Below are 27751 nucleotides of genomic sequence, written 5' to 3'. Positions count from 1 at the left end.
TAGCTACTTTATACAACACTCCAGAAATATTTGTTATGCAAATGCATAAACTCTACCCAGTGGCTTTATAGATCACTGGCATTAGGGCTGGAGCTATTGTGCAGGAATAGGATGGTGGCTTAACTCAGTTGGGGGTCATTTTATTGCCAGTTTAACTGGTGTTAAATTAGTGGGTATTTAACTGTCACTAACACAATTTAGGGCTCAATTCGCCAAAGTATCATTTTTACTAATATTTTAGTGAAAGTGAAGAATCATTCCTCCCGATGCTGTAGTGTCATGCTGAAGGCACCACTGTTCTCTAGTCCACAGTAATGAAACTTGCATTAACAAAAGTGGGCTGGATGCCTACTAAGGAGAAAAATAAACTCCTTGAGAACCTGGTATCTTGCTGTAGTTTATTGCAGTGAAACCATTTTAACATCCCTTTTCACTGAATGAGATTTTTAAAATCCGTAAATCATGAGCCAAAATAGTATAATCCATGCAATATTTCATGGAAGACCTTTGCTGTAAGATTATTGTGTTGAACTCCCAAATTTTTATTTTAGGGAAAAAACACACACGCACACACACGCACGCACACACACACACACACACATTTCCCCACCAACACAAGAAACATGATCAACTCCAAATTCAAAAAGATTTACAAATGCCACAACACAGTTATCTACCAGCAAACATATCATTTCTTTGTTTCATAGGACACCAAGGATGAATAATTCATGAACCCCATTTCACATGCTTATTGTGTCTGGTGGCAAAGACCCCGCCCGCTCAGCCCCAGGAAAGCTCAGGCACTTTGCTGCAGGCACAGTGCTCTGTGCCATCCAGGGACCAGCCGTGTGCTCTCGAGTTACTGGAGCAGCGCAAGCAGCTCCAGTGGTCTCAGCTGTGGAGACAGCTGTTTGCCCACCGTCTGCGATGGCAGAAATGTGTGGTAGGCTTCCCCCTAACAGCATGGCCCCCGCTACACACCACACACACACACAAACAACTCCCAGGCCGTGCATCATACACACACCACCACCCAAGGGGTGAAAGAAGCCCCATCATGTGGGGACCAGAATGAGCAATGCACCACAGTTTAAAAACAACTCTTTATCTTGTATGATAACTACTGGAACAGAGGTGGTAGCCTCCGAACCTAAACCTTGTCATTTATGTATCAAAAGATTTGTGCATGCGTGAAATTCAAAATGATTTATTGTTTAGTTATTGCCTTATTTACTTACTTAATGGATTGATTGATGTGCTAGGATCCCACAGACAACGGAGGCTTTTTTTTTTTTTTTTTTAAGATTGTTTTAAAGGAACTAGATTGCAAGCAAAGTTTCAGTAGCACAGTAAGTCAGCTCCTCCTTACTGGTTTGTATTCATAATGAGTTCCTTTTGGCTCTTGCCTGCTACCTGTCTCTGGCTATTCATTGACACAAAATACTGCACCTTGCACACTGTGAGAAGTGGCAGGGATGAAAGAATATTAAGCACGAAGGAGTAAAATATGCAGAAAAATCTGGATCCTGCAGCACGTTTTAGCCAATAGAAGCATCTATAGTAGTAACTCTTGCATGGTGCTTGGGCTGAAAGCGATAGAGCTGCTTTAACAATGGGAGTTATCAGGATTCCATCTGGCATCATTTCTCGACAGAGGAGGGAGTTGCAGACAGAGGGGTCTCACATTTGAATTCCTCTTGTAGACCTAGTATCATCTGTTTCTCTTACGGACCTTGAACTTACTTTCATTTTATAGGGATATACTACACCTGAACTGGTTCTTGTAATAAAATTATCTAAAAACTTTGAAATAACTGTTATAAGAAAAGTTCCACAAACCTCTTACTAGCTTGCCTCTTGAATTTTATTTATTATTAGGAGTGCTAATTTTTTAATCACTCATGGTGAATAGGAGCAAAATCAAGGAGGGAGGTGCTCAATTTATTTATAGGAATTAGATGGCAAATTTGTGCATAACTCTTATTTGATCGATGTTCTGCGCAAGCGACATTTACGTAGGATCCCTGTAACCTCTTTTCCAAACAAACTCTAATTTGACATAATGCAGCGGAGAATGGCACCAGTCATCGGGCTTGCATCAGAAATGCATTTTATTTGGATTCAATTCAGACTCTTAACGAACTGGTTCCCATAAATGCAGCAGATGGGAGTGAGGCAAATGGAAGAGTGTGTGGGGCCTCACACCCAGCACCCACCACCGCTCCACTGTACTAAAGCCTTTCCTTAGTTAGCTGGTTAGTTAGTTAGCTAATTAGTTAGGCACATTCCAGCTGAAACTTTTAATTATAATTAACATATTTATCCTACCAATCCACCAAATTGAGGCATGAAACACTACAGTCCAGCCAAGGCAAGGAGATTCTTTCCTTCTCTTTCTCTCTTGACTGATTAATGTGGTGAATGCTGCCAGAAGATGGTCCAACGGTTTATAAACCTGGCAAAGCTGAAGCCAGACCTTCTTTTCTAAAGGTCAATTAAAAATGCTAGCTGCACTGTAAACAGAATTCTCCCTAGCAGAATACCACGCAGTGTCCAAAGTGGTCTCTTAATACAAAATATCAATTTGATTTTCCTCAGGAGATTCGCTCTCCTTTTGCAATGCAAATATTTTCAAGTGTACTAAACACGTTTTAGCACCTCAACATAGGCACTAAAACTATTTGCATGCAAAATTACCCAGAGTAGGCAGACAGGCACAAGCTTATGCTAGCACCATATGTGCTAAAGAATTTGAGCCAGGAAACAACTAGTATCTGGACGTTATTTACAATTTAAATTTAATTTTACATTATTATTCAAATGAGAGCTTATATATAAGTCTCTATTAAAATTAATGCTTCATATGGAATGAAATTTCACCTAAAATTATATTTTTAATAGTGCTGGGGGGTTTTGTTCCAACTAGATTTCAACCATTCAAGAAGTATAATACAGCACTTTTGGTCCTTGTCTTTCAACTGTATGAGAGGTTCATTTTTCGTTCTAAAAAGTTCTCTCAGAAAGAATAGCAAAATTAATTTTGATTGGAAGGCCCAGAAATCAACACAAAACATAGACCAGGTCCAACAGATTAAAAAGCATAAGTGATTTGAGAAAATACACACTTCCTGGAAATAGCACAGAACACTGTCCCCACTCAGTTAAAAAACACCTTTTTTTTCTTTCCAAGAAGCTCCACATGTTTTGTGAACAGGGGAAGTGATTTTGGTTTAGCATTTAGTTTGCCAATTGCAATGTGGCATACTGTCCCCAGAAAGTGGCACTTCTTTATGTACTCAGAACACAATTAACCCTATTATTTCTAGTATGCTTTCAGTGTAGCCTTAAGGAGTAATCTTAAATCTATCGGTGACGATCGGGTAGAGAGCTTAATGTTCATCTGTTAATCCGTATCAAAACAGAACACTGCTTTCTTTATCTTTTAGAGTAATTTTCTATTTCAAGTTTGGTAAGATTTCATGTCTTTAATATCATATATTTAAATATGCAATAGTTTATTTTTATGTTTACATTAGGGAGGGGAAACATTTAAGTGAATCAGAATGATTATTTCCAACTCTCTCTTCAAACTTTCTCTTACCTAGGGGGTTTACAACTGAATTCCGAGGCTGGTTGAGAAGTACTACTATCAGAGTAATCCTTTCCCCGGCTGTCTGCTAGGTTATCTGCAGATAGTTACAACTGCAGTTTATGTGTACATTATATATTAAGGTTTATTGAGATAAAGATAATACTTGGTGAAGTGCTTGGAAATTATTACTTATAATCCATTTTAGCTTAAACCTATTACAAAAAGGAGAAGTATATTTTAAACACTAGGCTGTGAATAACTGCTTTTTAAACTATAGCTGTGGAAATGAACTTGGGGTGAAGGGAATATAAGAAAAATCAATATGCTATATTTCACCACAAGGACGGCATCAAATATACCCAGAACATTAACTACAGAGGATTCTTCCTCCTGGATTAGAGATAATCAAACTTATTATCAACCTAATACATACAATTTTTCTTTTGAAAACTTCAAGTATAATTCTAGGTCAAACATCTTTTTTTGCTTTCTTTTTTTATGAGCTGGAGGAAGAAGCTGCTTTCTTTCTTGACTTGCAATCAGTCTCAGAAATGTTGAATCATTGCCTAGGTACATGAACTCAATTCTGAGCAGCTTTAATTTACAGCAGCCAACATTTCTATAACATAAGCTCTCTAAAAGGGGCCCACAGAAGAACCAGAAATCTGTGGTTGTGTAGAAAGTTTAATGGGAATGGAAAATCTCCACGTTTACACGTCTATTCTTGCATATTAATATCATTACATTTAAACTGTGGTTTGATTTCAAACATTGAATTAATTAAGGGAACTTCCAGGTCGAGTTATAATGCCAAATCAAATGCCAACAGCTCCCTCTACTGGCTACTAGGGGAAAACATTTGATCTCTATCAATCAGAAATTTGTTTACTTATTTAAAAAACATCTTCACCAAATTAAATTTTGATTAAAAAATGGCTAAGCTTTTTGGTAAACCTGAAAGATGTTCACTTATAATGATAGCAATACAAATGCTAAGAATTTTAGAAGTGGATAGTTACATGAATTTTCTCGAACTCTCGGCTTCAGGTGATCCGCCAGCCTCAGCCTCCCAAAGTGCTGGGACTACAGGCGTGAGCCACCTCTCCTGCCCAAGTTACGTGAATTTTCTAACATCAGTAAACAACTTCTGCCCTCTCTAAAAAACATCTGGTCATTCCCTTGCCTAGTACCCTCTATTACACAGAATTTGGGTTAGGGTTAAAATATAATTAAGGTTAGGTTTAGGGTTGCATTTTCTCCAACCTGACACAAATATCAAATTTGTTTTCCAGAAGCTGAGAAATCTTAATGGAAATATCAAATTTCTACATGATGCTTCCTTGTCTCTTGAGCTCTAAAAAAGACAAGAAGAAAATAAAAAGAAGTATCTATTGTTATTTCATCGAGAATAAATAGATCAGTTGTAAATTGTTTACAGTTTTGAAGCAAAGAAACATTGGATTCTTTTATTTAAACTCTGATATTTGATGTAACATGTAGTTTAGTGAGGGCAATAAATGTTAAAAATGTAAAAAGTAAAATGCATTTTCTTCTCAAAGTCCTTGCCCAATCCTTCTTGGAGACTACCCTCCACCACCTGAAACAATCAATCTATTTGGTTTCACTCATTTAGAGTTGTCTCTCCCTCAAATCCACCACCCCCACAACTCTTGGCCTCCTTTTCACACAGCCATATTCCCTGAACATAAATGGAAAATGTAATAGCACACTCAGAAGTTTTCAAATCCCACTCATTTCAACAAGTGAGACTTGACAAGGTTGATGTGATAGGCTCATGTGAGAGGTTTTAGAATTTTGACGTAAATGCACTGTGAAGGAAAACCTTTCTTTTTTTTAGAAAGGAAGCAATATAGCCCTACAGAGACAAGATCTTGCTCTGTGGATGTTCTCTGCCTTAACGATGAGGTCTTTCTTCCACCGTACCCTCTTACCGTATAAACTTTGAAAACAAACTTGCAATTTTGTTAAAGGTTACCTAGATAGAATATTTCACTCCTCTCTTTCCCTTTCTGTCTCCTCACCCCAGCCCCCCATACACTGCCTCAAAATATATGTATCCTTCATCTTTGAGAAGTGAACCACTTTTGTTTAAAGAACTATCCCTGCATCTTAAACTTTGTATCTTAATTTAGGAAATTACTGATTTCTTAAAGCATCCATAATTGTTGTCATAGCCACAGAGAATCTTTTTATGATGAGTTCTTCCTTGTTTAACAATGTAATTATTGTTGAATTACAGTATATCCTGGCATGCAACCTTTTCAGGAATGTTCTTATTTCATGAATTCTTTTAAAATACGAATTCTCTTTTTAAAGTTGAATTTTTCAAACATTAAGTTAAAACTGTAGCTTTGGCGTCAGACAGGTCTTCTGGATTCAAACCTTACCTCTGTCATTTATAAACTGAGTGACTAAGGCAAACCACTTAAACTCAGTGATGCTCAATTTCCTCATTTGTAAAAAGGGAATAATGGGACACCTCTACCTCATTGGGTGGTTGAGGTTGCCTTGAGATAATATATATATAACATGCTTTAGCAGAATGCCTGGTACATAATAAACATCCAATGTTGCTATTCCTGCTCAATAAACAAGAGAAGGTCTTATGGGAATGGAACAATGTAACTGATTATTTTATTTCCTGGGGAAAAATATGCACCATAGTAATCCAGCGAAGCTCTGAATACTGATGACTTTGATCAGAAAACTGAAAAGTAGACACTATTTGAAATAAGGATTCAAGACTGGATGCAGTGGCTCGTGCCTGTAATCCCAGAAGTTTGGGAGGCCGAGGTGGGCAGATCACTTGAGGCCAGGAGTTCACGACAAGCCTGGCCAACATGGCAAAACCCCGTCTCTACTAAAAATACAAAAAAAAAAAAAAAAATAGCCAGGCAAGGTGGTGCACACCTGCAGTCCTAAGCTACTCAGGAGGCTGAGGCACGAGAGCCTTGAACCTGGGAGGCAGAGGTTGCAGTGAGCCAAGATTCTGCCACTGCACTCCAGCCTGGGTGACAGAATGAGATTCTGTCTTAAAAAAAAAAAAGAAAGAAAAAGAAAGAAAGAAAGAGAAAAGAAAGAAAGAAAGAAAGAGAAAGAAAGAAAAGAAAGAGAGAGAAAGGAAGGAAGGAAGGAAGGAAGGTAATGCTAAATGACGAGGCAATGGGTGCAGCACACCAACATGGCACATGTATACATATGTAACAAACCTGCACATTGTGCACCTAAAACTTAAAGTATAATAATAATAAAATTTTTAAAAAAATTATAAAAAAAAAAGGAAGGAAGGATTCAACTTTGATAGGTGAAGCAGACATAATTTTTATCTGGCAGAGCACAGCAGGGTATCCTCCCTTTGGTACACTGTTTACAGGCGAGCAAAGAGCCCAGGGAATAAAGTTGTCCCTAATGGGTCACCCACAGGGAACATCTATTGGACAATGCATCAATGTCAGATTGTGAAACACTGGAAGATTCAATCGTTTCAAAATCCAGGCCCTAAAGTGTGTAGATAGATCTTATTCCAACCCCACCTCCAGCACCTACCGGCTCTGTGACCATAGTCCAGTTTCTCAGTTTTGAGCTTCATCTTGCTATTCTACAAAGTGAGAATATTGTCTAACTCACAGAGCTGGGTGAAAATTTGTGACCACGGATTTTTGTAAAAGATCTGCATGATCTGCCTCCTTCCTTCCTTGAAGTCTCTTCTGCTTTAACCCTGATTCTTGCTCCGTCTGCTGTAATCAGACTGACCTTTTTGGAAGCCTGACCCTTATGCTTGCCTCCTGCCCTCACACTCTGTTATGTATTTAATTCCTGTTCCTTCATCATATCTTAGCTCGGTCCGCACTTCCTTGTGGAAATCTTCCTTGATCTTGCTAAGTAGATCCCTTCTGTGTGCTCTTCAACTACTGAAACAGAAAAAGTTCCCTTGTCCCCATCTCAGGGCATGTGATGGGGGTGTGGTTCACTTCTTCAGCGCCCCACTGCTCAAAACCCCTAGTGGAAGCAGAAAGACAGGTTGTGGGGCTCTGACCCCACGGCAGTGTCTAGGAGTGAATGTTTACAGCTCCTGAGGCCCCAGTGGGAGTGTATCACCTTGTCCTCTTTTAGTTCAGCTGCCCACAGGTGGCGTGTGTTTATCAGCTCAATTAGACTCCTGCCTTATCACAAGGACAGAGTGCTTTCTGTATCCCGGGGTTCTTGCCTTTTAGTCGCATGCTCTTATGGACATATCCCTTTAACCTGTGTTATCAATATTGATTCCTCAGGGCCCAACACAATTTCTGCTTCCTCCCTGTTCTGACTACCCCGGGATACTCTGACCATTTCTCTGAATTCCCATCATGCCTTTTTGCTGCTTCATTCTTTTGCTAGTGATTTCAGAGGTTTATTTTTCTTACTCAACTACCTAGAAAGGTAGGGACACAGGGAATAGGGATCATGCCTTTGAGGAAGGGTAGGTAAGAAAAGTGGAGACCATAGATACATGTTTAGATTTGGAAACAGCAAGACCCAGTTGGAATTTCATTTCTTAACCCTTAACTACCAGTGAGAGACTGGTCCAGGATCGAAGCCTCATTTATAAAAGCAGACAGGGAACATACCTTATCTTACCAAATTATTGTTAGAATTAAAATAGAATAAGGCTTGGAATGGTGGCTCATGCCTGTAATCCCAACATTCTGGGAGGCCGGGGCAAGAGGATCCCTTGTGCTCAGGGGTTCCAGACTAGTCTGGGCAACGTGGTTAAAACCTCTTCTCCACAAAAAATACAAAAATTAGCCAGGCGTGTTGGCTACTCAGGAGGCTGAGGTGGGAGGATAGCTTGAGCCCAAGAGGTTGAGGCTGTAGTGAGCCAAGAGTGCACCACTGCACTGCAGTATGATTGACAGAGTGAGACCCTTTCTCAAAACATTAAATAAATAAAAAAAATTAAGTTAAATTAAAAAGACTAAAATGTGGCAAACTAAAAAGTTTGCCTTACCACACTTCCTCTTACCAACTCACTGCTTAAAAATTTAGCTAAATTAATTCTGTCGCTTTTAAATACTTTTGTGGATTTATTTCTATTTTCTGATTACAAAACATTAACAATATTTTTTAGAAAATTTGAACAGTTCAGAAAAGTATAAAAGAAGAAAATTCAATTAACAGCTGCCATATTTGAAGAATTACTATGTGCAATGACCATACTGTTTGATATATTTTAATATTTATCCTCTTTAATTTTGGCAGCAGTCCAGGAGGTAGATCCTAATATTAGTCCCATTTCACATGAAACAATGAAGCCAAAGTGTATGTAAGGGAACACAATAAGTGATGGACTTCAGAGTCAAAGTCAGTCATTCACTCCACAGCATAACTACTATGCCAGCATAGTTCCCCAAATCATTCATAAATCAACTGTCTCCCATCATAGAGCAAAAGCACACACTATTAAGATATTGTGGGTTCCAATATTTCCTTCCAATTGTATATTCACACACACACACACACACACACAACTTACATATGCACAAACGTACATACACAGAGCTATGAGGTATTTATTTAAACAAAATTGGGATTATGCTGTATATGTAGTTTTTTCCCATTAGCATTATATTTTTGGCACTTTAATGGTATAAACATTCTTTGGATATAAGCTTTTAGTAGTGACTACATATTGCATTTTTTTCTCCTCATTGAACCATCCCCTTTGACTTTCAAATGATTCTCAATCCTTACTGTATAATTTTTCTTCAGGTTCAATTTACCACAAATGAGGATTATGCACATTATAATTTTAAATATGCAAACTATTTATTATCGTAAGGAGATAATTCTGTAATCTCTCAAATGTAACATTTGTAATTCAGGACCTGTAAGGAAAAGGCTTTCATAATCATCCTTCAGGTCCATTTTTTAATAATGTTTGAAAAAATAGACAACTCTGTTAAATTAATTCATCCCATGGTACCAAAATGTATTAACAAAACACTGAAAGGCCAACAATGAACCTTCCTGTATCATTTCAATGAGTTTTCTCACTGGTCTAAGAAAGACAATGTGATCTAGCTGGACATGGACACAAAAGGTCTGGATCCTAACCACAGTCACTACTTACTTCCATGTGACTCTGAGCAAGTAAATTGACCTCTGGGAGCCTCCGTTTCCTTATTATAAATTATAATAGCAATATTTTCTCCACCATTGTGTAGGGTAGTGATGAGAATTAAATGCTAGAACACTTTGTACATCCCTATATTTCATTGTTATTATTACCTAGATTGGCCTAACTAAACAACTGTACATTTATCCAGAACGAAAAATCACAGAAAAATTATTTACTTTATCCTTTTAAATGCGTAGCAATGTCTACGAAATTCACAGAGGTTCTCTCTGTTCTGGAATAAAATTAACAGATCATTTTTGTTCCACAGAAGGGAAAAACATACAGAGAAAGGGAATTGACCTGTTATTAATTAGACCTCTCTGATGATGCTTGACTTTTTTTCTCCAGCATTGAGTTCTATTTGAAACTTAAAATTGCTTCTGTGTTTTTAATCATTTGGACTTTTCCTTTTCTTGGCTCCATAACACAAAGCCTCATTCTCCTTAGAATACACAGTGGGCAAAACAGAGCCATATTTGCTCCCTTAAATGGAGGCTTGGTGTCTTCTCTGACTATCGCTTATACAGGCCCTTTTGTGCCTACCAGCAGAATGTCTTACCCAGAAAGCAGAAGACCTTCAGTAGGCTTTTGGCATGGATGTGTTGGGACCTAGCTCTCTACTCCATTGTTTCTTTCTTGGTCTACATTCTCTTGGCACCTGTGTATTGGCCTACTGTGTAAATAGCCACTTTATATAAAAATCCAGTAAAGGGTGAACTTAGTCATTTCTATTGGTTTCTGCCCTCCTTCTCATAAAAATCTCTGGTCAGAGAATCATATCCCAACTGGTATTTTAGCTGCAGTTTCTGTTCTCTCTTTTTTCTGAAAATTTACTTGTCACATTATTTTTGTTCTCTTACAGATTTTTTGGGGATATATCCCTCAGGAAGTAGAAAATTCTGGTGTTTTCAGAATGCAAATCTGGGCCAACATGATATTATTTGGGTTTGATTGCTTTGTTTATTTAATTTTCCTGTGCTTTATTTCAATTGAGTTCATATCACAGTGGCTATGGTTCCACCAGCCCCATATTTCCAAATGATAGACTCCTAAAAAATCTTTTACTGCATCTTTTGTTCTTAAATATCTGTGTTTAGCTGTAGAAGGCTCTTGAAAAATGAATCTGGCTTTCCAGAGTCATAACTTTCAGCAGCATCTGTCCCTTCCCCACTATATTAATGAGACTGTTGTCTTATTTTTTAACCTGAGCTTGAAATCCCAGGAGTAACATTTTTCTTATACTTTGTGCTGCATGTGTGGTATTCCTGCACCATGAAGTAAACAATATTATGGTTTACCTCAGTAATATAAATGTTTACATAAAATTAAAAGGAAAAGAAGGAGGAGAAGGAGGAGAAAATCTCGTTAGAGTTGACTTTCAACTGGGTTCATAGTTTACATGCTCAACTGCAGGTTGTAACCCACCTCTTTAAGAGAAATTCAAATCCTGTGGTTACTTGCCTTCAAACATCAAAACATGACTATTCAGCCTTCTATTATGTTTAAATGAGGAGAAAGTCAAATACAAACTGTTAAGGCAATTTTATTTGAAAGTCAGATTTCAATATAATATACCATCTACCTCTACTCCTTCACTTTTGAAAGGTTCTCCTGACTGCCATACTTCAAAAATTGGAGCAAGACATTCTTCTGTTATATGAAGGAGGAAAAATCAAAGTCTTATGATGGGGAAAAATAAGAGTTTTGCCAGCTGTAATCCATACTAGTGAAATGATTCTGAGCAAGATAAGTAATCTCTTGGAACCTCAGTTTCATCACTCACAGAGCATGAATAGCAGGACCTGCTTCTGAGGGAGTTTGTGGGCATTGGCATGGTAGATGAGCAGATCTCCTAGCCATGGACAGTTTCAGTAGCAGTGGCCCTTCCCACTCCAGGCCTAGTAGTATATCTGAAAGTCTGCCATGGAGGGGAGCTGCTTGCGTTAAGGTCCCCTGTGCTGAGCAATGGTGTAAGGGAATCAGAAAATGGAGGAAATCAGAAAAAGTAAGGAGTTGAAGAAAATGGGAATGTAACTGTAAACCAGTACTTGCTGTTTTGTCACCTTTGGTGAAGTTGAACAAAATGAAAGAGTGAAGGTAAAACAGAGCTTCCTGGCTACTGCCTTTATTAGTTGCAAAGATGGGCAGAGGACTTATAAGGAACTCACAAATAATTGATCAGACTTTTTTGAGCAGTTGCTTTTGAAGATTTGGTGATTAAATATTAACCCATATGATGTTTTTCCTCCTATCTTAGCTTAACAGAGTAGGTGGCAAATTGTGTGCACTCAACAAAATTTTTGAATAAATACATATGTTAAATATGTTGAGGAATCAGTCTTTTTTTTTAATACACAATTCATTTAAAAAATAGAAATTAAGTTCTTATTATATGCAAACACTAATAAGAGCATGCTACTCAGTCAAACACTGCTCTTGCACTAACACATTTTTTTTTTTTTGAGACAGAGTTTTGCTCTTGTTGCCCAGACTGGAGTGCAATGACACGATCTCAGCTCACGGCAACCTCTGCCTCCCAGGTTCAAGCAATTCTCCTGCCTCAGCCTCCCGAGTACCTAGGATTACAGGTGCCCGCCACCACACCCAGCTAATTTTTTTTTTTTTTTTTTGTATTTTTAGTAGAGATGGGGTTTCACCATGTTGACCAGGCTGGTCTCGAACTCCTGACCTCAGGTGATCCGCCTGCCTTGCCCTCCCAAAGTGCTGGGATTACAGGCATGAGCCACCATGCCCAGCCTTGCTCTAATACATTTGGAGAAGAAAATGTGGACGCTACCAGAAGTGTGCTAGAGCTGACTCACGCCCACTAGTGAAAGCCAATTGTTAAATTGTCAGAAATTTTCAGGCCAGTTGCTAAAAATAGCCATTGTTAAATACTAAATATTAAAAGTAGATCTAAAACAAAAGGCAATACTCAAACATCATCACTTCTGAATTATTTTACTACCTTCTACTATTATCTATGTTCTTGAGAAGATCAACATCTACTGTATCCGTACAATGAAAACACTGTATAACAGCGTATTGCTGTGAATTCCAAGTCTGTATTCAACGATGTCTCATTCGTAGTTTAAAATCTGCCATGTGGTATTTGCACCAAGGAAGTCAGCAAAGGCTACAATCAGAGCTATTTTTTCCTGAGACCTGGTTGTTAAATGGGCACACCACTGGCTCTATCTCAATAGAAGACTGAAATAATAGTTTAAGACCATATTACATGGCCTATTTATAATATCTAATTTCAAAAAATGTTTCATATGCTTTCGTATGCATTATCCCATTTCAAATAAAGAAATAGAAGCTTCCATTCACACAGCTCTTAAGAGATGCAGCCAGAAGCAGAACAGATGCTTCCAGATTCTGATTTGACCACTCCATCATCTGCACCCACTCTGATTGGTAGTGGAAGGCCACCTTGAGAAGTCCGCATGGTGTCTTGGCTCAGCAAAGAGTATGGGAGAGGTTGGTTAGTAATGTCTTCAGGGACTATGGAGGGGTAAGGAAGACCTCCCTTTCAGTTATTTGACTTTTTGGCTTACTCCTCACTGTCTTCTGTGAGACAATATAAATTTAAGTATTTGGTAAATTATATAAACAATAAGTCTAAGCTACACTGTGGATGTATCTGATTTTGTCTATATTAAATGGAAGGGAATAAAGTCTTGATCAGTTCAGGGGAGAAAATGGGATTTGAATGGAATCCTGAAGAAAAGAAAGGATCCATCTGGTTGAGAGAAAAAGGCAAAACATCCACAGATACACACAGAGAAGGAAATACAATGACCATCCTGGAGAAAAATGAAGTATCCAGTTTGGTTGGAGGGCAGGATTTATAGATGGGAGTGCTAGAGAAAGGGACTGGGAGGATAGATAGAAACTGATTACCAGTAATCCTAAATGGCAGTATTAAACTTTGATGCTAAACTGGTACAGGTTTGCAGGAGAAGGGAAAAGTTGAAGAAGAAAAAGCATTTTAGTGACTGCTTTAAAAAGTTTATTTTTTAATAACTATGCTTACAGTATACACTTAATTGGTAATATATGCCATGTAATTTACCTTGATCTATGCCAATTAGACCAAAAATATATACTGTTTTTAGTTTATTAGGAATGAAGAAGGTCCTCTCTCAAATGCTGCAACATCAGGCATCAAGAACTTAGTAAATTTACCTATGGCTTACTTCATAAAGTATTAATAATACACATATATTGTTCCATAAACACTTAAAACATGGTGGAAAAATATAATGTTTCCACACCAGTTTATAAAAATTCACTATCTGTAATATTGTCTTGGGGGAAATAACGTGTATACATTTGAAACAATTGTAAAAGATGCTCAGATTCAGTTAATATTGCATGTAGACTGTAGATTTACACAAGCCAATATTCAACAAATTGAATCTGAGTGATACTGTCAGCTCTGTTAATCAGCTGAAATAAACAAGGAAATTCAACATACTGGTAATTGAATTTTCTGATTTTTATATAAAATAAAATATTCAGTTTTATCTTTAACTTCCCAGAATTGGCAACTATACTATATGGAGCACAGTGCTCTTTCTGCACTCAATGTATGTGAGGAAACATGTCATTGGCCTCCCTGACTTTAAGTTGACAAACACACATTTACAATGTAGACCTTAGATTCGCTCAAGACAATTAAAATACTTCCAATGCAAAGGGACCTTACAGAAGAATTTAATGATGGAGGAGGCTTTTGATTTTGATTTGTTTTGCATTTTTTTCCAAGGAGTTTTTAAAACAAGCTGTAACATGATCAATCAGTGGCCATATTCAGAATGAGCTAGAATGAGTATTGAGAATAGAAGCAGGAAGATCAGTCAGGAAGGTCTGATTGTTTTCCTGTGACCCAATTTTTGTGCAAAGGAAATTTTGCTGAGGGCAGGCACCAAGTACAGCTCAGACTTATCATGTATGATGTGTGCATCTCGTTAGTCACTATACCTCATTCCCTTTTTTTTTTTTTTTTTTTTTTTTTTTTTTTTGACACAGAGTCTCACTCTGTCACCTAGGCTGGAGTGCAGTGGTGCGATCTTGGCTCACTGCAACCTCCGCCTCCCAGGTTCAAGCAATTCTCCTGCCTCAGCCTCTCAAGTAGCTGGGACTACAGGTCTGGACCACCATGCCCGGCTAATTTTTGTATTTTTAGTAGAGATGGGGTTTCACCATGCTGGCCAAGCTGGTCTCGAACTCCTGACCTCGTGATCCGCCCACCTCGGCCTCCCAAAGTGCTGGGATTAAGGCATGAGTCACCACGCCTGGCACCTCATTCTTTTCAATACAAACTGGCTGGGACATAACTAAAGAGGAATACAGTAGAGTGACTTAGAGCTATGGCTCTCTTGTCAAACTATCTGGATTGAAATCTGGGCATATGCTCCTCTTTTCTGTAAGATGTCGATAATACCCACTTTGAAGAGTCAGTGAGAGGAGTAACTTCAGTGACTAACGTATTTAGCATATATTCAGGCACATAGTGAGCAAATTGACTATTAGTAATATTATTTAACTGATGCTGGTGGCCAAAGAACGTATGCTATACACAATTTGACCCGACCACAATAAACAATTACAGAAATAATTACAGAAATTAAAGACATCTGGAGCTGCATTTGATGGGTGTTGGGGGAGAAGGGTATGGCAGCAAACACACGCATGTTTCCTCGGTGCACCCACCTCAATGCGTAGACTGCAATGGTCATGTGACTCTTCTTCTTTTATTCCATTTCCCAATCCTGCTGATTCCCCACCTTTCTGAAGGTGGTTTTTATTTTCTCTCACAAAGGTCCCAATTTGGGCCCCGAGTCTGCTGGAGAAAAGAGAAAGGCTAAGAAGCAGCCTACCTTACCTGTGGCTCTGGGTCTGAGGATGGCCAGGAGAACAGAGAGCAAAGCAGAGCCAATGCAAGACCTCTGGCCCTGGAAGCCGAAGGGTAAGAACAGAGAGAAACCTTGGAGAACATTCTTGCATAGAATTTATCTAATAGTGACAGAAAAAAAGGAGGCTATAAATAAAGCCCTCCTGAAAGAAGGTAATTATTGTTCTACTCCGCCTTACTTCCACCTTAGATGTTATATTGACAAACTAAAGCATTCTTTTGCCTCCAGAGAATTTGGCTGGATCAGAGTTTTTAATTTGGCTGGATCAGAGTTTTTAAAAAATGAGCTTTCCTACAGTGTTTGATCCAGTAAAGCTTCATGAGAAGGTAGATGAAATGTGAAATATTTAGATTGGTATTTACCTGCATATTGTACAAGAACTCAGAGAGGACGCCTCCTACCAAGATCAAAGCGTTGCTATTTATGCTAAAAATTGAAATACTGTGGAAATCAACATTGCTCGACAAAAACTTCAAAGAGAAGTAAAGCCTTCATTTAAAAAATGTTTATTTGGAGATATTTTCCTAATTTTACCTCTCTTATGTCACAACTGTTGAATGTGCTCATTTACATTTATGTTGAGGATACCATAAGGAGAAGTTTGTTTGTTGTCGTTGTTATTTTTAAAGTCCCACAATTTCGTAGTTCCTAGACTTTTATATTATTTATAAACAGCAAATAAATATGATAGTTATTATTACTTATGACTCTACTCTGACCAGTCACTACATACACACTGTCTCTAAACTTTATACCAATTCTGCAAATATGTTATTTTTCTCATGCTACATATAAGGACACTGAGGATCAAAGTTTAAAATATTTTCCCATATTCACTTAGATAGTAACTAATGGAATTGGAGATTTTCAACCTGTGTTGAATGAATGCTTCATAGACACCACATGCCTGTCATTCTGATTATCTTCTAGCTCAGTAACCAGGAACTCATGACTGACTCTAATGATGAAAATCTAGTAAAATTTTTTTAAAAACCAAACCCAAGAGAATCATTTTGTTAAAAATGTTGGCTTATGAGAACAGAAGGCAGCAAGGCAAAGGGTTCTGCCCTACATTTATCTAGTAAGGACTATAAGCTTGTGCATATTGCTTAGCTTCTCTGAGACTTGGTTTCATCATGCCCAGTAGATGCTGACACTGGTATCCTCAACATTAGCCAACAAGTGCACCTTTGATGGACATTCAGGTTCCAGAGTAAATATTCTTTCCAAAGATATCACTTTACCTCTGGTGTCTATGAAGCATTCATTCTGTCCCTGCTCATTCCCTCAATGTGTATTAAGCACTTACCAGAGGCAAAGCAGCATGTTGAGTACAATAAAAGCCATATTATGCAGTGGGCATTTGAATGGCATTCTTTGACATGAACTTACAGAAAACTCTCATTCCTTATTGCACCACCTAATATTCCCATTCCTGACTCCACATTTCCTATGTTTCCAAAAAGAAGTTTTTCAGATGGCAGCAGGATGCAGGAATCTTATTGGAACTCAAAGGCGATATGAGATTTGAGCAGCTCAGATGGTTTATTCCTGTAGTGTAAAGTATTTATCTTCTCAATTTGAAGAGCAAATGTTAACATATTTCCAAGTTGTTGTTATTGAACTGTAGTTACTTAACCATAATCACCTAAAAAAAATCTACAGTAATCGATGAGTGTTTTTTATACTTGTAGTTGTTATTCAACTTCTGTAATAATCCTTTTTATTTATTTTTACTTTAGTAAATTAGGTAAAATTTAACAGTTTAAATGGTAATCAAAAACCTAAAGCTTGCTACCAGAAAATAGGGTTTTGGGTTTTTTTATTTTTCATTTACTATATTTATATGACTAGGCCCATGTCCCATCCCCACCTCCCACATGGTTCCTATATTCACTGCCAATTTTTAGGAGTAAATATATGATGTAATTTTTCTCCTAACAAGCTGCTGTGACTGTTGGCAGTAGAAAAAAATAGGAGTTGGACACAAAGGAAATAAATGGAAGAACAGTTGAAGAGGCCCAATGACTCCTATTGGGTAAAAATGAAAGGAAGAGTGTTTGATCACAAACCATATCTCTGAGGTTGCTTTCTCCAAATACTGTGAATGCAAAATAATTTCATTCAAAAGCAAATATGAGTTTGAGGATATTTTATTTTACCTGAGGAAATCAAAAGGAATAAAGAAAGAAAAACTAATGATCGTCAGTACCTATATTACACAAGGGCACAAAGTACTTGGCCAGAAGGCATCAGGTCGGAGAACAGTTCTTTACCGACTGCCTCCATTTTGTCCAAACCAGGATTTCTTCTGATTGATTGGTGCCAGTTTATATGGATTGTTAAATATTTTGAATAGCACCCTTGGCTAGTGCTCTGTAAACACTGACTTAATTCTCACCACAAGCCACTGAGGTTAAGTATTATTATCCCAATGTACAGATAAAGGGATTGTGAAATGAGGAGGAACATTCATGTCCACAGTGGTTTGAGACTCTTCCTCAGGGGTCAACTCTTATTCCTAAACAAGTACAGAGCTGTACCTTTCGCATCTCTGTATCTAGTGTCTAGGAGAGTCCTGCCATGTACTTGGTGCTCAAAAATGGTTTACTCAATTGAATTTAACAGACAACTGTTCATTTTACTGGGATGAAGAATATCTCCCCTACACGTACAAGTTTCACATATAGGTGAAACTTGGTTCACATGTGGGGCCCAGCTCAGGATTTTGCAGTCCCACCTTCTCTTTCAGACTATAATTATAGGAATTTAAGAGTTCTACCAGTTTACCCCAGCAATAAATACATTGCAGAAAATGTATTACATTAATCGTTCTCCCTCATTATAATGCATTTCTTCTCAAGAAAGAGGCAAAAAATGCTAGAACTCTACCCTAAGTGAATGTGATACAGAGGAATATTTAATACCAGTGTATTTATAGCAGTGTTATTTGTATTAGACACTGAAAACAAACTAAATGTCTAAGGATGGGAGAATGGCCTAATTAATCATAGTTAAGATGCATGATGGAATGTTACGTAGTCATGGTGAATCACATTTTAATTAATTTGAGATTTTGTATTTAATAAGCTTTTTATTGAAGTGTAATATACAGAACAAAAAGTGCACAAACTATAAGTATAAATAATTCTCATTAATTTAAAAAGAATTAATAATGAGGCAACTACTTAATGGTGCCTCTCAAAAACTAACTTCTTTTCTCCTCAAAGAGATTCATTATTTTAACATCAAATAGGATATAGGGAAATAGCTATTATCACATAAGTGAAAAAGGATGAAGCAAATTGTACAGTGTTCTCTAATTATGTGATTATTTATATGTAATTAAATGTGCAGAAAAATGCTAGAAGGAAATAACTAAAATGTTATCAGTGGTTGTATCTTAGCAATCAGAATAGGGGTACTTTTATTTTTTTCTTATCGTAAATATACATGGCACTAATAAATACTTTTCAGGATAAATGTTATTTAAAGGAAACAAAATATGTTAAAATCCATTGTAAACATGTTTTTTTCATATTTGTCAGAAGCTGGCACTATTTTTCTAGTCCTAAAATGTAGAAGAGCTCAAAAAGTTGCCTAGAAAATTAGGCTATTACATACGATTATATTTAAAGCAATATATCTCCTATTAGAACATGGATAAAATTATGATATGCTTTTGATTATACCATGGACATTAATTACTGAGAACCATAAGTTCCTACCATGAAACTACACATGGTATGGTTAATTCTCCTAGCCAGTGTGATTTTTGCATTGCTGCCAGCACAAACCTTATAAGGTTCTCATTGTGCCAGTTTTGTCACATTCCAGAGAATTTTCTTCCCATCCTTATGGCTTTGCTTGGAAAAGAATGACTAGAAAATGATGCTGGAGATCATAAGGTCAGTCTAGCCGAAATTGTACTGACAAAGCAGCAGAAGCTTCTGGAAACAGATCTAGAGTTCTGGAAATCGGCCAAGGTCCAGGGGTGTGTAGATGACATGTTCTGCATTTTGCTTAAAATTAACTAGAAAAAAAATTGTATCTGTTTGCCTTTGTTTTTACAGAAGTCAGATAATATATTGATGTGAGAGTAGAGCTGTGGAGAAAGATATAGCTCCTAAAAATGCTTTAAATATATAATCAAGATTAGTTGGATTCTTTCCTTCTTGTCCTTCCTCCTAATATTTCTTTCTTCAATTGCATGTTTATTTTGAAAACAGATTAGAATTTACTATTCAGAGGGATGTATGAGATCTACAGGGAATGAAGCAAGAACTAAATAGAAAACAAATGGAAAGGAATTCAACAAAATAATTCACAATATGATTTATCTAGGAAGAGGGAATCAGAAAAACTTTCCTAATCAGAAAAGCTTCCCTCTTGGGAAGTCCATTTTCCCAGAAGGAGCTGGAGAAAGGAACAAATGCTTCATCACTGATGGTAAAAGCCTGTCCTCTATGCACACAGAGGGCCCTGGTTCTGCTCTGCACTGTGGAGAATTTCCCAGACTGAGTTGCCCAGGTTGTGGAGAGATTGAAAACACTGAGTTGGGAGAAAAGGAGTGGAAATGGTTAGGAGTAACTATGGCTCAAACTTCATAAATAGTAATTATGTTTACAAATTTTAAGCTTCAAACTGCTCTCCTTATGGTTCAGAAAGATACAATTTTTCCTGGAAAGAAAAGCCCAGAAAAGCGAATGTCTTAAAAAAAAAACAATCACTGCTTTAATAGTCAGACTGTAGAGTTTAGTGGCCAGCAGTGACCCAAAGTGGTATTTTTCAAGCCTTGACATTTATTTAATGCCTTTAATGTGGTTATATAAAAGTGTTTCACATACACACTATTAATATTTAGGTGCCAGGTGGCTGCTATGCATAGTGTTTTATTATTTATAAGTCTGTTTCTCTGGTTCACAGGGAGATGAGTGGCTGTCATTGACCCAAGAAGGATTCTTTTAACATCATACATTAATTTCTTCAGAGAAAGAATAACATTACCTTATAGTTTGGTGGTAGAGCAAAATATATTAATTTTCTAGATAGGGTCAATAGAATCGTATGGCAATTGTGCATCTGTAGCTAGTGAGGACTATAAGCTTGTGCATATTGCTTATCGTCTCTGAGACTCGGTTTCATCATCTGTCCAATGGGAATGTTAACGATATTTTTTGAAGGAACACAAGCCAAATACCTGTCAGAGTACCTTGAAAATAGAACATGCTTATAATTAGTTTCCTACCTTCCTCCATGAGTCTCAGTTTTCTCATCTGAAAAACCAGTGGGTTAAGTGTGGAATGTCGAATAGTTTCATTCCATATGATAACTCCAAGCAATTGATATGAACTGCTTACAGCGTTCATGAAAAAGATTTGAAACCCAAGGTGGGAATATCATGAAAATGCTAAGTAGATGATTCTTGCCTACCTTGGATAAAGGAAAAAAGTGGCTGCACGTGTGCTGCTGCCTGTTTCTCAGCCCTCCCAGATACAAAAGCCTCTGGTTTTGAACTTGACCTTTGTGTTCATGAACTACCTTGGGTAGAATTAAGGAAACCTAATTAGGATCTTTGTTGCTAGCACTTTAAAGCGTTACTAATAAAATTCAAGTACAGCCTGGCAATTTCCCTAGTCAGTTTAGTCAGTTTAGGGACTCTTATTCACAGACATTGCACAGAAGCTTTCCTTGCCAACTTTTGGCCAGTGAAGCTCTAACTCAAAGGCTGGTATTTGAATATTTGCCAGTAAAAACAACTCTGTGGAGTTTTATTACCTTATATATTCCTGAAGGAGCCAGGATAAGATCTCTGCTTATCTTATTTCTATAAACTATTCCATGCACCTTACTTCACTCCTCTGAATTTCTTAGGAAGAGAACAGAGAACAATATAGTTGGAAGAAATTAGATGTCAACAATTCGATTGTTAATAAATATAACTAAGAGTGCAATTTCAGAAATTAAATGTATTATTAGGTATAATTGCTAAATTTGTTGAAACTGATTTTTTAAATATTAAGTTCTGTTTTCATGTTTTTTTACTTTTATTATTAAAAATAGCAAATATTTTGAAAACATAATTTTTAATTGGCTCCAAATCTCACAAGTTTAACCTAGCCATCATGATTGGGATTCATTCCATTCTAGTTTTTGTGTATTAGAATATACACCGGAACTTTTTAGTGGTTGTAAATAGAATACATGTATAATTTTGAATTCTAATCATTCAGTAAGAATTATATTTTCTCACTTTTCCCATCTTCATTATAAACAAATGAGGTTATTTTAATTACAATATAGTATGTCACTGGCATTTGGGTAATAATTAGTTAGCATTTTACTCCTCATAGGGATTTTATATTGTCAAGGCCAAATCATGATTTCAACTTAGATCTGTTTTCTACACAATCCAACATGGGAAATCACACAGATTGACAAAGCTGTCTTGTTGTTCTATTGAAAAAAAAATTTTGTAAGAAAAATAAAAATAAAAGTCCCATATCCCATTTTAAAACAAAGAATTGAGAATATGTCCCAGCTAAAACATTTTAAATATATCATATTTTATAATAAATGCAATTTCACTGCTTCTAAATAACTCATGGAGTTTGAATAGTATCCTGAATGTAATGATAATGAGTTTGAATAGTACACTGAATGTGCCATGATAAAATGACAAGATGATATCTGAGATTATCATTATCATCTTAATGTTTGTCAACAACATGAGAGCAGACACTGGGTCGTATGCTATGGAAATGAACCTTGACTGGGCATAAATGGAAAGTGAGTGGAATGTGGCCACTAGGGCTCTGCTTACGTGAATGTCTAAGGAACTGCCACAGGAAATTTTTTTTTTAAGAGTTGAAATAGGGAGGGAGACATCACACGCCAGGTCCTGTTGGGGGTTAGGGGACAAGGGGAGGGTGAACATTAGGACAAATACCTAATGCATGCAGGGCTTAAAACCTAGATGATGAGTTGATAGGTGCAGCAAACCACCATGGCACATGTATACCTATGTAACAAACCTGCACATTCCCAGAACTTAAAGCAAATTTTAAAAAAAGTTGAAATATAGTTAAGAAGTATAATATAGACTGGTTTCTGAAGAAGACAGCCTGGGTGACCTTTTTGTGTGACCACACAGAGTCTCTTAAACTCTTTGTTTCTCAGTTTTTTCATCACATGGCTGATGTAAAGATTCAACAGAATAAATATGTACAGCTCTTTGAACAGTGGCTGGCATATAAGTACTCCCTCAATGGATTTTAGCTATTATACTACAAATTTGTTTCAAAGACATGAAGCGGAATTGGAGCAGATTCTGAATAAGGCATGATGCCTGTCATTCTGATTATCTTCTAGCTCAGCAACTAGGAACTCATGACTGACTCTAAGTATGGAAATCTAGTAAAATTTTAAAAAATCAAACCCAAAAGGATCATTTTGTTAAAAAGTTTGGTTCTCGAGAAGAAAAGCAGCAAGGCAAAGCATTCTGCCCAGTAGATGCTGACACTGGTATCCTCAACATTAGTCAAGTCCATCTTTGATGCTGTCATTGTCTAAAATTATCAACAGCAGTACCTTGAGGTAACAACTAGTGACACATATGCCAGTTTGCCACTAACAGAAAAAAATGACACAATCCCAATGAAGCTGGAGAGAAGAACAAAATATGAGATGAAGCACAAAAGAATGTTCCCAAACTTCTCAAAGGAGAGGGACTATTTCTGGAGGTAGAGTCAGAGCTAGAGGGAAATTATGTTTTGTTATGCTTATTTTTACCCACAGGCAGTTATGATATATCAAAGCCAGGTTTCAGGTGGTGTGCACAATGATTTGCTACAAAAGTCTAAAAACTGATTCATTCAACAGGTATTTACTGAATACCTACAAAGTGCCAGGTCTTATGCACTTGCACAAGTGAGAGTCAGACAGATTATATTGTAGAAACAAAGGACTACAAAATCTCACTCATTAACGACAAATGTTATTCCTTATTTATGCTATAGGTCTCTCACAGGTCAACGCAGGATCTACTCCATCATCATCTTCACTAGCACACCCAGTTCGATTGAGGAGCCTTGACGTGGGATATTGATGGGATATTGAGAGAAAAGAGAAATGGTGAATCAAGCACTAATCTCAAAGCTTCTGCACAGAACTACTTACATGTCACTTCCTCCCATGACTATTCCTAAATTCAGCCAAAAGGGGACACATAATCTCTTACGGGGGAGGGCACCACGGGGAGAGAAACCCGAATATTTGGTGAATAGTAACACAATCTACTTTGTTATAGAATCTGTCCTCAATGGTCTTACAGTCTAAGAGCATTACATTTAGTTACGGTAGTCTTAAATATGATACTAAATGAATTGAATAGCCAGACATCTGTGAAAGTAAAACTGTGATAATACAAAGTCAGTGTGCTTTTAAGTTTCAATTGCTTAAAGTTATTTGGAAGTAAGGATCACATGAGTTCAGAGCCCCAGGATTCAAAAATAACTCCGGAATCTTTTATCACTCCCCAAAGGAAAAGCAATAATAAGTAAGTTACCAGACATTCATGTAATCTCTCTGAAACTGTAAGACTAACAAAGGAAAATTTTCAAAAGGCAGAAATACTTTATTATTTATTTGCAATAGAAATTATTCAGCCGGGCGCGGTGGCTCATGCCTGTAATCCCAGCACTTTGGGAGGCCGAGGCGAGTGGATCACCTGAGGTCGGGAGTTCGAGACCAGCCTGACCAACATGGAGAAACCCCGTCTCTACTAAAAATACACAATTAGCTGGGCATGGTGGCACATGCCTGCAAGCCCAGCTACTCAGGAGGCTAAGGCAGGAGCGACAGAGCGAGACTCCATCTCAAAAAAAAAAGAAAGAAAGAAAGGAAAAAAAGAAAAGAAAAGAAACAAAGAAATTTTTCAGTAAATACATACAACAGCATTGATGGCCTGGAGACATACCACCTTCAGTTGTGATCCTGGCAGATGTGATAGATTCTACAAGGTTGGACAGGTTAAATTCTTGCAAGGAAGTCCTTTCTGGAACACCCAAGAATTACAGAAAGTTTAGCTATCTTTCAGATGAGATTTCATTCTCAGTTTTACTTGTTCCATGACCCTTCCAAACTACACACGGGATTCTTTTCATTCAGTTGCCTTGGCCAGCATTTTATCACCAATAGTCCTATTTTATGTAACTGAGTTTGCCTTGCCCTTTACTGCATTTAGGTAAATGGAATGGTGTTTTTTAGACTTCCGAAACTATTTGTAGACCTTTTCCTTCACAAGTTTGAAATAGATGTGAGGCATTCATTTTACTCAGACAACATTGAGCCCAATTCACTTGGGAAAATGCATCTTGATGTGTAATTCATCATCCAGAGCCTGTCCACTATTCTGTTCCTCCCTGAGAGTAAATTAGGCACTTTGAAAGGTGCATTAAACTCTTCCTGGCTACTAGGTACCATTTAGAACTGTGGGGCAATAATTTACTTCATGGTACCTTGGTGACCTCAAAAAGTTTATATTGTTTTGAAAGTTCTTAATTTTCTCCCACTAAATAATTTATGCATTCAGAGGTTGGGTGTGCTTATGTTTCCAGAGAGACAACAGCTATTGAATAGCATAAATAAGATAAAATAGTCATGCTAGTGTAGAAATTAAATGTTCACAAATGTGTTATCGAGTCTATCCATAGAATAAAAGTGTAGCTTATAAAACAATTATTGCTTTGGATTTCATGTTTTAAATTTACAAGACTGTGTTACATTTTGTTGTAATTAGTAATGCTTCATAGCTACAAGGATTACCAGATCCATATCACTGCATTTTTCCATAGCACAAAACACATTTATCCAAAGTAAAAATAGTGTGCTAAACATACTGAAGTTTCTGACAGACACTTATATTTCTCTTCATTCTTTCATTCACAGCAGAGTTTCATCCATATTAAATAAATTGGTTAAGTTTTGATACCTCCTACTTTAATCACTCATCTTATGTACTAAAATGAACCAAATTAAGTTTGAGCCAACAAATAAAAGTGATATGCTTTGAGTTTTGCTGTCATTTGGGATAATTAATAATAAAAATAAACATTGCATTCATCAATTCTAAGAAACAAAGACTTTCACATTTTAATGTCTCTAAAATAAGAAGATGTCTTATAATTGATGGTGTGCCTGAGCTCTTTTGGCAGCATTTTTTCTCTCATTGTCATAAAATGATATTACATTTTAGTATTGATGGCAACTTAAATTTTTGAAATATAGCAGGACAACTTATTTTGAAAAATTGAAAATAAAGCTCTATGTGAAAATGGAGAATGATTCCAAGAATATGAACATATCACCATTTAGGTGGCAGAAGTTGATAATGTTTTCATATCCATTTCAGTCACCACTGTCCCTCTGAAATGAGTTTATCACCACTAACCAGTTTTGAAAACGTTTGAATGGGACAGATGCTGATCATGTGATGGAAGTAAAACCTATGAGAAATTTTAAGAGAATATATATGTAGGTCATAACAAAGCAGTGGAAATATTTGTTTTAAAATAATAATAATAAAAGATTATTCTTGCTACTCTCCAAGTGATGGAGATGAAATAGTGAATCACTATTTCACCAATGAAGCATAGCTCTGGGAAGAAGAAATGATTCGATAACACTTTTACAATGTTGGTGGGAGTGTAAATTAGTTCAACCATTGTGGAAGACAGTGTGGTGATTCCTCAAGGATCTACAACCAGAAATACCATTTGACCCAGCAACTCCCATTACTGGGTATATACCCAAAGGATTATAAATCATTCTATTATACAGACACATACACACATATGTTTATTGCAGCACTATTTACAACAGTAAAGACTTGGAACCAATCCAAATGCCCATCAATAATAGACTGGATAAAGAAAATGTGACACATATACACCATGGAATACTATGAAGCCATACAAAAGGATGAGTTCATGTCCTTTGCAGGGACACAGATGAAGCTGGAAACCATCCTCAGCAAACTAACACAGGAACAGAAACCAAGCAAACACCAGATGTTCTCACTCATAAGTGGGAGCTGAACAATGAAAACACATGGACACAGGGAGGGGAACATCACACACCGGGGCCTGTCGGCGGGTGAGGGCAAGGTGAGGAAGAGCATTAGGACAAATACCTAATGCATGTGGGGCTTAAAACCTAGATGACCAGTTGATAGGTGCAGGAAACCACCAAGGCACGTGTATACCTATGTAACAAACCTGCACATTCTGCAAAAGTATCCCAGAACTTAAAGTAAAAAAAAAAAAAAAAAAAAAAAAAAAGTTTATAACTTTTGCCAGAAGGGATCTATAAGAGAATGCTTTTTATCAGAATAACTTTTATATGTATCCACTGAAATAGGTTCAATCATATCTAGTATTAATCTCTGGATGTAACACCAACTCCACACCTCGAAGACAACAGGGGAGACAAAGGCAGAGCAACAACAACAACAAAATGATGTAAATTTTACAATATATCAAGATATAAAATTCAGAACCTATGCCCTTGATGTTATCCTGAATGATAAGATGATATTTACCGACAAAAATCACATGATTATCTCCATAGATGCAGAAAAGGCCTTTGACAAAATTCAACAACGCTTCATGCTAAAAACTCTCAGTAAATTAGGTATCGATGGGACGTATCTCAAAATAATAAGAGCTATCTATGACAAACCCATGGCCAATATCATACTAAATGGGCAAAAACTGGAAGCATTCCCTTTGAAAACTGGCACAAGACAGGGATGCCCTCTCTCACCACTCCTATTCAACATAGTGTTGGAAGTTCTGGCCAGGGCAATCACACAGGAGAAGGAAATAAAGGGTATTCAATTAGGAAAAGAGGAAGTCAAATTGTCCCTCTTTGCAGATAACATGATTGTATATCTAGAAAACCCCATCATCTCAGCCCAAAATCTCCTTAAGCTGATAAGCAACTTCAGCAAAGTCTCAGAATACAAAATCAATGTACAAAAATCACAAGCATTCTTAT

The 27751-nt window shown here is 37.0% G+C and overlaps 1 long non-coding RNA gene across 1 annotated transcript; it reads left to right on the top strand.

Moving 5' to 3' along the window:
* The first annotated feature begins 816 nt into the window (after nucleotides 1-816).
* Nucleotides 817-25766, top strand: LINC01235 (long intergenic non-protein coding RNA 1235). The gene is made up of 3 exons (NR_033863.1): nucleotides 817-943; nucleotides 15601-15747; nucleotides 23713-25766. It is a non-coding gene; the product is annotated as a long intergenic non-protein coding RNA 1235 (long non-coding RNA).
* Nucleotides 25767-27751: the final 1985 nt, after the last annotated feature.

Source organism: Homo sapiens, chromosome 9, assembly GCF_000001405.40.
Source record: "Homo sapiens chromosome 9, GRCh38.p14 Primary Assembly".
NCBI classification, from domain to species: domain Eukaryota; kingdom Metazoa; phylum Chordata; class Mammalia; order Primates; family Hominidae; genus Homo; species Homo sapiens.
This window is presented reverse-complemented; position numbering and strand designations above follow the sequence as displayed.